Here is a 14,853-nt window from a genome sequence, read left to right as displayed (position 1 = left end):
ATTACAATTTTATGTACTATAAAGAGAAAAGCATTTGTCAGTAAAGAATGAACTACTGATAGACATGCTATAACCTAGATGAACCTTTAAAAAATTATGCCAAGTAAAAGAAGTCAATTACAAAAGACCACATAAATGCACATATTTTCATTTATATAAGGTGCATGCAGTGGGCATATCCATAGAGACAGAAAGCTGATTAGTGGTTGACAGTGGTTGGAGGTAGTTGGGGGTGCAGAGTGACTGCTAATGGGTACAGAGTTTCTTTTGGGGGTGATGAAAATATTCTAAAATTGATTGTGATAATGGTTGTACAACTCTGTAAATATATTAAAAACTAGTGAATTGTACATCTTAAGTGGGGGAATTTTATGGCATGCAAATTACACCTTAAAGCTTTAAAAAAAAAAAAAAGAAAAGAATACTGAGTAATTTGAAAGATTTACCTCCCAAATTGTTTTATTCACTATCGTCTGTCTTAGGTTGAAAGAATTGTGTTAAAAAAAGAAATCTTATAACTAAGTGTGTAGGATTTTGAGGCTTTATTTGGAGCAGAAGTATGCAATTGTGCTTCCTTTAATTCATGTAACCTATTTTTTAATATCATTCTTTGAGTTTAATTCTTCATCCAATGAATGCATAAATAAAAAATGAAAGTAATACCCTTTGTTTACTTCAGATACAAGATAGCACTGCAATATATTGTACCTTGGGCAATAGTCTACCTTGCGGTGATTGCTGTTTTATGTGTTGCAGGGAAGGAGATTGGTGGGAAGCAAGATCAATCGCTACAGGAAAGAATGGTTATATCCCGAGCAATTATGTAGCGCCTGCAGATTCCATTCAGGCAGAAGAGTATGGCACTACTTCATATTTTATTAATTATTTTGATTTTTGAAATGTTTTAATGCACATTCTACTTAGCCACAACTTTACACACACAGAATTATATACCAGTCTTAATACAGCTTATGTATCATATTAATAGATGTTACTTAAAAATTAATAACTAATGTCATACTATTCACTTAGAGTAGGATCATAAACGAATCTGCATCAGTCATATTTCCTTATGCCTAGTCTCTCTCTTTTATGTTTTCACTTAAATATGTATCTATAAGCCTTTTGCATATTTTTCAGACTGTCTCACTTCAAAAATTTGCCTTCTGATTATCCTCATTCCCTGCCTTGACTTATTTTTTAACTTACAGCTTATATATGAGGGTGTGTTGATAGGGATGGGTATATTGGTATATATATGCATCCCATATTTATGATGCCAAGACTTACATTCTTCTTTTTTTTGAGACAGGGTCTTGGCTCTGTCGCCCAGGCTAGAGTGCAGTGGCGTGATCTCGGCTCACTGCAACCTCTACCTCCCAGGCTCAAGCAATTCTCCTGCCTCAGCCTCCCAAGTAGCTGGGACTACAGGCATGCACCACCACGCCCAGCTAATTTTTGTATTTTTAGTAGAGACGGGGTTTCGCCTATTGGCCAGGCTGGTCTCAAACTCCTGACCTCAAGTGATCCACCCGCCTCAGCCTTCCAAAGTGCTAGGATCACAGGCGTGAGCCATTGTGCCTGGCCCAAAGACTTACATTCTTTAAGGTTTTACTATTTTTGAAATATTTCAGAGATTTATTATCATTTTATGATTATAAAAGTAATATGCCCATGAAAGAATATTACTTTCAGTTAGTTTTATATGACTGTTAATGTCTTCATTTAAGCACTTGCATTGTAGTTATGTAGGAAAGTATCCTTCTCTTTTAGCAAGTACACACTGAAGTATTTGAGGCACTAATTCAGCATGTTTGCAACTTACAATTAGTTAAGAAAAAATACATGTGTATATATATACATGCACACACATACATATGTAGAGAGGGAGAGAGTATGACAAAGCAAAATGTTAGCCATTGGGGAACCTAGTTGTAGGGTTTATTGTAGGGTGTATGGGAGTTCTGTGTCCTATTTTTGCAACTTTTAAAAAGTAAAAATTCACCTTCAGTGACACACTACTTTTAGGTTAAACCAGTTTATCTGGGATTCATAAACGCTACTTTATTTTCATGTTATAACACTTAACACCGTACCTTGTATATGATAGGTGCTCTATCAATGTTTGTTTGCTTTTATTAATGATTTGTAATGTGTCTCAATAACTCTTTGTTCTACTATGGTGCTTCTTACTTTTTGTTTTGTCCTTTTGTCTTTCTTCTCATTTTCTGTGAGCTCTTCCATAGCAGACACTGTCATTTTATTCACAAAACCTTATTAAATTAAACCCACACATATTTAGAGTTACTAATAATTTGGGTATGATATGCCTGTGTCTTACTGAATGCAGATGATGATGCTGTTACCAGGGAACCACTTCTATTCTTCCTGTCATAGTCTTAATATTTCCATTTGTCACTGACAGAAAGGGTCTGTTATTTTGCTGCCTTTCCCTCTCTACTGTTCCTGTGACTGTCAGGTGGAGTTTTGAGAGACACATTGAGTAGTTAATATATAGAAATACTGTAAGAGTATATTCTAACAGTAATATTTGTGATATTACTATTTAATCAATAAAACTCTTACATTTTCCTGTATTTTGAGCCATGTTCTCTAGCTATTCTTTGTCGTCCAAACCTATCCCAGTCCATTCTTACTGACACTTCTGTATAATTTTTCTGAACCTCATACTTTTCAATTCAAAACACTTAATTTTTTTCCAGATGGTATTTTGGCAAAATGGGGAGAAAAGATGCTGAAAGATTACTTTTGAATCCTGGAAATCAACGAGGTATTTTCTTAGTAAGAGAGAGTGAAACAACTAAAGGTATGAATATTGTTATATTAGTATAAGTATAAAATTTCTTGGGGCAGTATTTTGAGAAAGATATAGTGAAAGTATTTATTTTTCACCCAGGTGCTTATTCCCTTTCTATTCGTGATTGGGATGAGATAAGGGGTGACAATGTGAAACACTACAAAATTAGGAAACTTGACAATGGTGGATACTATATCACAACCAGAGCACAATTTGATACTCTGCAGAAATTGGTGAAACACTACACAGGTATGTGAATATTTCAAAGGTAAAAATTATTTCTTCATATTCTAGTTTATGAGGACAAAATCCATATCCTCATTTCTCTTAAGATTTAACACACTTATTTACACATAATACATGCCCAATAAATGTCTGTTGTATTCTAAAGGGAGGAACAGGTAATACTTAGTACTTGCATTGTGCTACTCAGATAATGTGCTAATAGACTCTCATCATTTGGGTCCTTATATCTTACTGGCATAGTATTTACATTGGAGTTCATTTCACCACATGTACCTTATGAAAATAAACCTAAAAGCAAATATTTATGGGCACTTAGTAAGTAAAACTAAACATTGGGTAACAGAAAAAGCTATGTCAGAAGGATTACCTTCCTCTGCATGGGCTGGATCGCATAAGCTTTCCTAAAGTATAAATCCAGTGAAATTTGGTCTGACGATGCATTTTTCTTATCCTAGAAAATTAACCTATAGCAATTATAGACATTTTTGTCTTTCAAGGACCTCTGAAGGTATTTAATATTAGAATCTTCTGTCTCAAAATTTTTCATTACCAATTTGGCATATGAATGCACCTGAAAGTCTTTACATGATTAATACTAGGAGAGGGGATGTTTCCATGGTAATGTCTTCAATGACAGCTAGCTGCAAACTGAGTCTATCAAGTCAGCCAGCAATCTTGACATTGATCAAGCATGTTACCAAGCAGTGGCATCACTTGTAATTGCCTTTGTCACAATGTGAATTTATGTGGTTATTTTAGTGAGAATAGGAGAGAACATGTCTCATTTATAATAAGAAAGATTGTATAAGCAGAATTCATAAGTCAAGCTGTTATGAATCTAGGGTTCCCTGACTTTGTGTCTCCCTTATTTAAAAAAATCAGTCTCCTGTTAGGCATGTGGATTGTGCCTTTAATCCCAACTACTGATGCAGGAGGATCACTTGAGGCCAGGAGTTCAAGAACAGCCTGGGCAACATAGCAAGACCTCATCTCTTAAAAAAAAAAAAAAAAAAAAAAAAAAGGCCAGGCGTGGTGGCTCACTCCTGTAATCCCACCACTTTGGGAGGCCGAAACAGACAGATCACTTGAGGTCAGGAGTTTGAGACCAGCCTGGGCAACATGGCAAAACCCTATCTATTAAAATATAAAAAAATTTAGCCAGGCGTGGTGGCATGCACCTGTAGGCTCAGCTACTTGGGAGGCTGAGGCAGGAGAATCACTTGAACCTGGGAGGTGGAAGTTGCAGTGAGCTGAGACCACACCACTGCACTCCATCCTGGGCGACAGAGTGAGACTCCATCTCAAAAAAAAAAAAAGAAAAAATCTCCTAAATGATCCTAAATGAACTTTTTCCTTGATTTTTTGGTATGCCTCTTACAAATTAGTGGCTATTAGATAATAACATTTAATGATAACATTCTCTTTGAGAATTAATAAAACCCAGTGTACAAAGGCAGAACTTTGGAAGCAGACAGACCTAGATTTGAATCCCATCTCTACCATTTACTAACTGCAGGGCCTTAGGGGAAAGTTGCGTATGTTTTCAAAGCTTCATTTATATATGAGATACTTGTGAAGTGCTAATTTAGCACAATAGTGGAACATACTAAGTATTTAGTAAATAATAACTTAAAAAAATATATATTTTAAGTTATACTAAGTATTTAGTAAATATACTAACATATCTACTATATATTAGTATATACATACTAAGTAGTAAATACAATATATTTACTATATATTAGTATATACATACTAAGTAGTAAGTAATAACATGTATATATATATATATTTTTTTTTTTTTCGAGTCAGAATCTCACTGTGTCACCCAGGCTAGAGTGCAGTGGCGCAATTTTGGCTCACTGCAACCTCTGCCTCCTGGGTTCATGCGATCCATCTGCCTCAGCTTCCTTAGTAGCTGAGACTACAGGCATGCACCACCATGCCCGGCTAACTTTTGTATTTTTAGTAGAGACAGTGTTTCACTGTATTGGCCAGGCTAGTCTCGAACTCCTGACCTCGTGATTCATCTGCCTCAACCTCCCAAAGTGCTGGGATTACAGACGTGAGACACCTTGCCCGGCCTTAAAAATAAATTTTACAAAATGTTTCACTTATGTATATTTCATGTTTTGCTGCTTATGGACAACTCCCTTTTTGTTTTGTGCTTTTAGAGTAAAACTCGAAAGGACTTCTGTTTTTGTTTTTCTACAGTTTAAACTTAAAACATTGATACACTATATGCCCCTTAATTTTTGTAATTGATATTACAGTATAGTTTATTCATTTATCTAGAACATGCTGATGGTTTATGCCACAAGTTGACAACTGTGTGTCCAACTGTGAAACCTCAGACTCAAGGTCTAGCAAAAGATGCTTGGGAAATCCCTCGAGAATCTTTGCGACTAGAGGTTAAACTAGGACAAGGATGTTTCGGCGAAGTGTGGATGGGTAAGAAGCCTGAATTTTTGTTTTCTGTCATTGTTTAGCTGTGGATTAAAGTGCAACAATTTATGATAAAATATGTTTCAATATTTAAGAGAAGTGCTGTTCACTGAAGTTTGGTCTAAAATCCTTTAAAATATAAATTCCTAAAATGTGTTATTTCTTTAGGAACATGGAATGGAACCACGAAAGTAGCAATCAAAACACTAAAACCAGGTACAATGATGCCAGAAGCTTTCCTTCAAGAAGCTCAGATAATGAAAAAATTAAGACATGATAAACTTGTTCCACTATATGCTGTTGTTTCTGAAGAACCAATTTACATTGTCACTGAATTTATGTCAAAAGGTATGTATTAGTATCTCCTTAGGTATTTGTGTTGATAATGTTTTTAAGAGTCTTGATTTGTATGCATATAGACTTATACTGTTTTCTAATTTAAGATTTTTATGTAGACATATTTGGATAGAAGAAACCTGACACTTTGTTTAATGGAATAGTGATTATCCAGTTATTCCAGAGGATAGTATGACGTTTAAAAGGAAAAGTAGGCAGGCTGAATTAATTTTGAAATTAAGTTTGACTAAAACAAATGGAAAAGCTAGAAAGGTGAAAAATAGAAAGTGTTTGTACACATTTAATTAAAATGATAAAATCAGAAAGATACTTACATTTTTAGTACTAAAGCAAAGAAATAAGGTAAAGTTAAAATGAATTAGTTTTCTCATTTTAATATAAACATAATTCCTATATTCAGGACTTCTAGGAACTTTTTTCCCCACTGCTTTCTTTTTTTTTTTTTTTTTAAATAGAGACTGGGGTCTCAACTATGTTGCCCAGGCTGGTCTTGAACTCCTGGCCTCAGGCAGTCCTCCCTTTTTGGCCTCCCAAAGTGCTGGTATTACCAGCATGAGCCACTGTGCCTGGCCTCCCCACTACCTTCAATGGAAGTTTCTTCATTTTCCTTAACTCTAGACCACAAGATGGGATCTTCAGTAACAGGGTTAGTTAGGGGGAGGATAAAGAGAAGATTGATACTCTTTCCTCTTTTTCCCTGTGCAGATGGTACTTAGAGGAACTAGTAAGTCAGCAGATAAGCTGACAGGCCTGATTTTTATGTGTTTGATTTCATCTGCTTTATTATTATTTTTACTCTTGAACCAATAATATACAGTAGTCACTAATTATGTCACCCTCTCCAGTGGTGTGTCTTGGTCAATGATGTAGTTCCATCTAGTGGTGACAAGGACAACTACAAGTTACATATTTGCTGTAGGAAAATTTTTCCCCTCAAAAGGGGACTGAAACCAAAAGTTAAGAAATTATACAGCCTATTAATTGATAGCCAGAACACACCTAAAGACCCAAAGCACCTGGCGCTCTTTGGAAGGAATGTCTACTGCAAACAGTTGCCAAATATGACATTTTTTTGTTTGTTTGCTTGTTTGTTTGTTGTTTTTGTTTTTTTGTGAGGTGGGGCCTCACTCTATCCCCCAGGGTGGAGTGCAGTCACATTTCTCTGCAGCTTGGACCTCCCTGGGCTCAAGCGATCCTCTCATCTCAGCCTCCTGAGTAGCTGGGATTACAGGTGCATGCCACCACACATAGATAATTTGTGTATTTTTCTACAGATGGGATTTCACCCTGTTTCCCAGGCTAGTTTGGAACTCCTGGGATCAAGCAATCAGCCTGCCTTGGCCTCCCAAAGTGCTGGGATTACAGGTGTGAGCCACCACACCCAGCCCAAATATGCCCTTTCAAAGAGTATATTAGATGAACCAGAGGGGAAGGGAGGGCCAGGCATGGTGGCTGACCTGAGCAACATGGTGAAACCCCATCTCTACAAAAACTAAAAAAATTAGCAGGACGTGGTTGCACACACATGTATTCCCTACTCAGGAGGCTGAGGCATGAGGATTGCTTGAGCCCAGGAGGTTAAGGCCATAGTGAGCTGTGATTGTGCCACTGCACTCCCATCTGGGGTGAAAAAATGAGACTGTCTCAAAAAAGAAAAAAAAAAAAAGGAGAAAAGGACAGGGAAGATGTTTAAATCAAGATATTGGAAGCAGGCCAGGCACAGTGGTTCATGCCTCCAATCCCAGCGCTTTGGGAGGCCGAGGCAGGCAGATCACTTGAGGTCAGGAGTTCGATCCCAGCCTGGCCAACATAGCGAAACCCCGTCTCTGCTAAAAATACAAAAAACAGCTGGGCGTGGTGGCTTGTGCCTGTAGTTCCAGCTGCTCGGGAGGCTGAGGCACGAGAATGGCTTGAGCTAGGGAGGCAGAGGTTGCAGTGAGCCAAGATGACACCGCTGCACTCCAGCCTGGGTGACTGAGTGAGACTCCGTTTCAAATAAATAAAGACTTTAACAATTAAAAAAGATATTGGAACATAAGAAATATAATGAAGGTAAGGCTAATAGCCCATTTAGCTCTGTATATTAATTTTAAGAATTATTTAATTGGGAGAACATGGTAAAATTCTGTGTTGTCAGACCACTGGGTACAATTATTTCCAGGCGGGAGAGATTTAGAATACAAGATAACAAAAGTCCTTTCTATTTTTAAAACTCTTTAATTCCTCATTTTGGTATTCACTTAGCACTTGTCCCTTTATAATCTGTCCAAACTCATTGTCCCATGCACTCCAGCATAAACCCACTGTTCTGCTCTTTGTTTTCATGATTTTTTCATGTTTTCTCTTTGACCTGGAATTTGGTCTCCCTAGCTCTGGACCAGTCCACCAACTACACTTCCCCGATCCAGTTTATGGTCAGGCATTCCATTTAGTTGTCATTTCTATTTAGTCTCCTTTAATCTAGAGCCATTCCTCAACCTTCCTCTGTCTTCCATAGCATTGTTACTTCTGAAGAGAATAGACCACTTTTATGTTTTAAATGTGCCTTAATTTGGTTTTGTGTGATGTTTTCTCTTGATTATAAGCCTTAACAAATAATAGTGAAGCCGTAATCAGACTTCTAGCCTTTTTCTTTGCTGTTATTCATAGTACTTTGTAGTTTTCAGAGAGAGAGCTTGGTCACAGCAGTAGTTCCACAGCGACTCATTTAGCTACCTATATTTAGTTTTAACCACACCCAAGATATTCCTAGTTGTCTGAATTCTTGATTCAGATTTACTTAAAAATATGTAAGTATTTAATACTACTTTTTGAATCAGAATTGGGATATTGATCAAAGCGAGGAAAAAATGCCTCTTGTCAGGTAAAGTTAATGCATTTTCTTTTTTTGCATGTGTTATCAGAAGTTTTCAAAATTTCAGCTTAGAGACCTCTTCTAGGACCTAGATAATTATTTGGAAACTGCAAAACTGCACAAAATTTAAAAAAAATGAAAAGCTAAGAAGTTTTGTGTTGTGATTTGGGGTGGAGGAGTATTCATTTCAATCCTAATATAAGATTTGCTTATTTTTTATGAATATCTTGCTGTCTGTTACAGGAAGCTTATTAGATTTCCTTAAGGAAGGAGATGGAAAGTATTTGAAGCTTCCACAGCTGGTTGATATGGCTGCTCAGGTATCTGTATATATACATGTATCCATTTGAATTAAAAGTGTAAATTAAAATGTGGAATAATCTTACCAGAATATTATAGTATGTGTAGTGAAATGGTGGGATTTTATTTTTATTTTTTATTTTTTAGAGACAGCGTCTCATTCTGTCACCCAGGGTGGAATGCAGTGGTGCACTGATAGCTCCGTGCTTGAAGAGCCTTGAATTCTTGGGCTCTAGCAATCCTCTCGCCTCAGCCTCCTGGGTAGCTAGGACTGCAGGCACAGGCCACCATTCCCAGCTAATTTAAAAAATTATTTTTTTTGTAGACACAGGGATCTCTCTGTGTTGCTTAGGCTAGTCTCAAAGTCCTTGGCTCAAAGGATCCTCCCACCTCAGCCTCCCAAAGTATTGGGATTACCTGGCCAATAATGGAATTTTAGAACTGGCAGGAACGTCAGAGATAATCCAATGTGAGCTCTTAATGATACAGATTAATGAAGTATCAAAAGATGAGAGGTATCTAAAATTCACAAAACTTGTTAGTAACAGAACGAGTATTAGAACCAGCTATCTAACTCTTAGTCCAGTGGTGTCCTGTATCATACGGTTTCTTAGAAAATAGATGTTTCCAGGCCAGGTGCGGTGGCTCACGCTTGTAATCTGAGCACTTTGAGAGGCCGAGGTGGGTGGGTCACTTGAGGTCAGGAGTTCGAGACCAGCCTGGCCAACATGGTGAAACTCTGTCTCTACTAAAAATACTGAAAATTAGCCAGGCGTGGTGGCGGGCGCCTGTAATCCCAGCTACTCAGGAGGCTGAGGCAGGAGAATCGCTTGAACCCGGGAGGCGGAGGTTGGAGTGAGCCAAGATCTCGCCATTGCACTCCAGCCTGAGCAACAAGAGCGAGACTCCATCTCAAGAAAATAGATGTTTCCACAAATGTAAAGTCTATATGTATTTATATTTCAACAGATAATTTTAAGAAAATTAAAATGGATGAGGGCTGTTCCAAAGAAAATATTAGTAATCTAAAGTGTATGCTGAATTTTTTTTTTTTTTTTTTTTTTGAGATGGGAGTCTCGCTCTGTCACCCAGGCTGGAATGCAGTGGTGCAATCTCGGCTCACTGCAAGCTCCATCTCCCAGGTTCACACAATTCTCCCGCCTCAGCCTCCCGAGTAACTGGGACTACAGGCGCCCACCACCACCCCCAGCCAATCTTTTGTATTTTTAGTAGGGACGGGGTTTCACCGTGTTCGCCAGGATGGTCTTGATCTCCTGACCTCGTGATCTGCCCGCCTCGGCCTCCCAAAGTGCTGGGATTACAGGCGTGAGCCACTGCACCTGGCCTGAATTTGTTATTTACTATAGTCCAACACAAGAATTAAGATGGTATATATACAGTTTAAAATGGGACTTTTTTACTCTTCTGACTTTTTGTTTTAAATATATAGTGAAAACTGTTAAAAGTTTCTCTTCAGATATGTGGTAGGTATTTGAGAGGCCTTATTATTGGCTTTGGTTGACATGCTGGTTTTGGAATCTTACCTCCTAGCCTCCAAATGTCCACAGAATCTGACAATTCAGAAAAGCTTTATACTGAGAAACTATACATAGGCAACAGGCATATGCCACGCCAGTTCATGCTTCTGAGTTAGACACTCTATGGTAGGGGAGGTTGGCAATCCATTTTTGTTTTTTAAAAAAAAAAAAAAATTAGGTTTTGTGAGCCACATCCAATCTGTCATACTTTTTTCTTTTTACAACCCTTTAAAAATGTAAAAACCAGGCTGTGCGAGATGGCTCCTATAATCTCGCTTTGCGGGGCCTGGGCAACATAGTGAAACCCCATCTCTACAAAAAAATACAAACATTAGCTGGGTGTGGTGTCGCATGCCTAAGTCCCAGCTACTCACTAGGCTGAGGTGGGAAAATTGCTTGAGCCCAGAAGATAGAGATTGCAGTGAGCCACGATTGCACCACTGCACGCCAACCTGCGTGACAGAGTGAGACCCCGTCTCAGTCAATCAATCAAAATGTAAAAAACAGTTTTAGTTCTCTGGCTGTGCAAAAACAGGCTGCAGGCCACTTTTGGCCTACAAGCTGTAGTTTGGGAACCTATACCTTGTGGTTAATACCTTTATCACCATGTCATCTTAGGTTGTGCCTGATAGAGACCTTGATGAGCTTGTATCCAGAGGTACTAAATTACCTTGTGATTTACCTCTTCTCCTAACCACAGACACAAGAAGACATTAGGAGGGTTAATCTTGGTCTTCAGAGTAATGTTAGGTTTTATTTTTTTTGAGGCTGAGTCTCGCTCTGTTTCCCAGGCTGGAGTGCAGTGGCACAATCTTGGCTCACTGCAACCTTTGCCTCCTGGGTTCAAGTGATTTTCCTGCCTCAGCCTCCCAAGTAGCTGGGACTACAGGTATGTGCCACCACACCCAGCTAATGTTTGTATTTTTAATAGAGACAGGGTTTCACCGTGTTGGCCAGGCTGATCTCGAACTCATGACCTCAAATGATCCACCTGCCTCGGCCTCCCAAATTAATGGGATTATAGGTGTGGGCCACCGCACCCAGCCAGTGTTAGATTTTTGAAATCTGAATTTAGCCTGCATTTTTATTATGTTTTCTGGTTTTCCTGTTATCTTCTAGACTATACCCTGTTACCATCATCTCCTTCTAAAATAATATGATTTTCAGTGACACAATTTGATATTAACCATAATTGTCTTCTCTCTGCTTCCCTTTGTATCGTATGTCTTGTGTTTTTTGTTTTTCTCTTTCCAAGATTGCTGATGGTATGGCATATATTGAAAGAATGAACTATATTCACCGAGATCTTCGGGCTGCTAATATTCTTGTAGGAGAAAATCTTGTGTGCAAAATAGCAGACTTTGGTTTAGCAAGGTTAATTGAAGACAATGAATACACAGCAAGACAAGGTAAAATTACTTTTACATAAAAGCTTGTAATGTGTTGTGTGTTTTGCTTAACTCTCTTGACTATACAGGGTTTTCCAGAATAAGAATTGTTTTAGCTTCCCTCAGAAGAGTCATAGAGACATTGATTTCATTCATAAAATCATGTACTGCTGTGGCTTTCTGATAGTTATTTCCTCCAAGAAAGAACTTGACTAGGTATCCTTTGCATTATACATAGAGCAAGTAGTAGCCTCTTTACACTTCTTTTGACATGACAACAAATATATTTTAATTTCTTTCCTAGAAAGGCCAGAGGTTCTCAGTCAGAGGAGATATTGCCCTGTACCGCCACTCACCAGGGGACATCTGACAATGTCTACAGACTTTTTTGGTGGTTACAACCTGGGGGCTACTGCTTGACATCTAGTGGGTAGAGGCCAGGTATACTGCTGAACCTCCTACAGTGTACAGAAATGTGCAGGCAAACCCCCCCTTCCCCCCACAACAGAATTATCAGGCCCAAAATGGTAGCGGTGCTGAGATTGAGAAACCCTGCTTTAGACATAGTGCTTTCTTTCAACCTCCATACTTCTGTACAGTTACCTCCATCTGGAATGCCTTCCTATCTGTAATGTTTGTTGTTGTTGTTGTTTTTCGAGATAGGGTCTCCCTCTGTTGCTCAGGCTAGAGTATAGTGGCGTGATTTCAGCCCACTGCAGCCTTGACCTCCTGGGGCTCAGGTGATCCTCCCACCTCAGCCTCCTGAGTAGCTGGAACTACAGGTGCACACTACCACGCCTGACTAATTCTTTGTATTTTTTGTAGAGACGAAGTTTTGCCATGTTGCCCAAGCTGGTCTCGAACTTCTGGGCTCAAGCAGTCCTCCTGCCTTGGCTTCCCAAAGTGCTAAAATGGCAGGCGTGAGACACCATGCCCGGCCTGTAATCTTTACATGTGAAAATCCTAACCATTCTTTAGGGCCTAATTTAGCTGCCACTTTTTTTTTCAATAGTTTTTGGGAAACTAGTTCTTTAGTGGTGATTTCAGTGCACCCATCACCCAAGCATCTTGCACTGTACCCAATATGTAGGTTTTTTTGTTTGTTTTTTTGAGACGGAGTCTCACTCTGTTGCCCAGCCCAGGCTGGAGTGTAGCGGCACGATCTCGGCTCACTGCAACTTCCGCCTCCCAGATTCAAGCGATTCTCCTGCCCCAGCCTCCCGAGTAGCTGGGATTACAGGCTCGTACCACCACACCCAGCTAATTTTTGTATTTTCAGTAGAGACGGGGTTTCACCTCCAACATGTAGTCTTTTATCCACCCCCCAACCTTTCCCCCTTACTCCCCAAAGTCCATTATATTACTCTTATGCCTTTGTGTCCTCATAGCTTAGCCCCACTTTTAAGTGAGACCATACAATATTTGGTTTTCCATCCCTGAGTTACTTCACTTAGAATAATGGCCTCTAGCTCTAAGTTTCTGCAAAAGACATTATTTCATTCCTTTTTACGGCTGAGTAGTATACCATGGTGTATATATGCCACATTTTTTTTTATCCACTCATTGGTCAATGGTCATTTAGATTGGCTCCATATCTGCAATTGCGAATTGTGCTGCTATAAACATTTGTGGATGTATCTTTTTCATATAATGATTTTTTTTTTTTTGCTTTGAGACACAGTCTCAATCTGTTGCCCAGGCTGGAGTGCAGTGGTACAATCTCAGCTCACTGCAACCTCCACCTCCCAGGTTCAAATGATTCTCCTGCCTCAGCCTCCCCTGTAGCTGGGATTACAGGCACCTGCCACCAGGCCCGGCTAATTTTTGTATTTTAGTAGAGACACGGTTTCACCATGTTGGCCACGCTGGTCTCAAACTCCTGACCTCAGGTGATCCACACGCCTTGGCTTCCCAAAGCGCTGGGATTACAGGCGTGAGCCACCACACCTGGCTGATTTCATTTCCTTTGGGAAGATACCCAGTAGTGGGTTTGCTGGATTGAATGGTAGTTCTGCTTTTCGTTCTTTAAGGAGTTTCCATACTGTTTTCCATAGTGGTTGTACTAATTTACATTCCCACCATCAGTGGAAAAATGTTCCCTTTTCACCACATCCACACCAACATCTATTGTTTTTTTTTTTTACTTATTCATTATGGCCATTCTTACAGGAGTAAGGTAGTGTCTCACTGTAGTTTTAATTTGCATTTCCCTGATGATTAGTGATGTTGTATGTTGTAGTTGCTCCTGGTTTTTTTTGTTTTGTTTTGTTTTTGAGATGGAGTCTCACTCTGTCACCCAGGCTGGAGTGCAGTGGCGCGATCTTGGCTCACTGCAAGCTCTGCCTCCCGGGTTCTCGCCATTCTGCCTAAGCCTCCCGAGTAGCTGGGACTACAGGTGCCTGCCACCAAGCTCGGCTAATTTTTTTTTTTGTATTTTTAGTAGTGACGGGGTTTTACCGTATTAGCCAGGATGGTCTCAATCTCCTGACCTCATGATCCGCCCACCTCGGCCTCCCAAAGTGCTGGGAATACAGGCGTGAGCCACCGCGCCTGGCCAAGTTTTGCTTTTTTGCCCAGACTGGAGTGAAGTGGCATGATCTTGGCTCACTGCAACCTCTGCCCCCCAGGTTCAAGCAATTCTCCTGCCTCAGCCTCCCGAGTAGCTGGGATTACAGGCATGCACCACCACACCTGGCTAAGTTTTGTATTTTTGGTACAGACAGGGTTTCACCGTGTTGGCCAGGCTGGTCTTGAACTCCTGACCTTAGGTGATCTGCCCACCTCGGCCTCTCAAATTGCTGGGATTATAGGCGTGAGCCACTGTGCCCAACCACCTGCCACTTTTTAAATAAAACATTTTGTAATGGTGCCAAGGAAAATTGATCATCTGTTTGTCTAAATATCTAA

At 39.5% G+C, this 14,853-nt stretch overlaps 1 protein-coding gene across 10 annotated transcripts in view, besides 1 other annotated feature; it reads left to right on the top strand.

The window, feature by feature from the left end:
• The window catches only part of YES1 (YES proto-oncogene 1, Src family tyrosine kinase), a 91,166-nt gene that overhangs the window by 63,979 nt on the left and 12,334 nt on the right, over positions 1–14,853 (top strand). For all 10 annotated transcript variants that reach the window (XM_047437770.1, XM_024451244.2, XM_047437771.1 and 7 more), the window contains exons 4-10: positions 757–855; positions 2,724–2,827; positions 2,918–3,067; positions 5,360–5,515; positions 5,678–5,857; positions 8,964–9,040; positions 11,814–11,967. In XM_047437770.1, the coding sequence (XP_047293726.1) occupies positions 757–855; positions 2,724–2,827; positions 2,918–3,067; positions 5,360–5,515; positions 5,678–5,857; positions 8,964–9,040; positions 11,814–11,967 (920 nt within the window). The remainder of the gene's footprint in view (positions 1–756; positions 856–2,723; positions 2,828–2,917; positions 3,068–5,359; positions 5,516–5,677; positions 5,858–8,963; positions 9,041–11,813; positions 11,968–14,853) is intronic.
• Positions 6,782–6,851: an enhancer, noted in NCBI's record as "active region_13022". NCBI's record gives its function as "activates an Ori minimal core promoter by ATAC-STARR-seq in GM12878 lymphoblastoid cells {active_cell/tissue: GM12878}" and the evidence as "EXISTENCE:reporter gene assay evidence [ECO:0000049][PMID:35858748]".

Source organism: Homo sapiens, chromosome 18, assembly GCF_000001405.40.
Source record: "Homo sapiens chromosome 18, GRCh38.p14 Primary Assembly".
Taxonomy (NCBI): Eukaryota; Metazoa; Chordata; class Mammalia; order Primates; family Hominidae; genus Homo; species Homo sapiens.
Note: the sequence above shows the minus strand (reverse complement) of the source record. Positions and strands in the feature narration are given on the sequence as shown.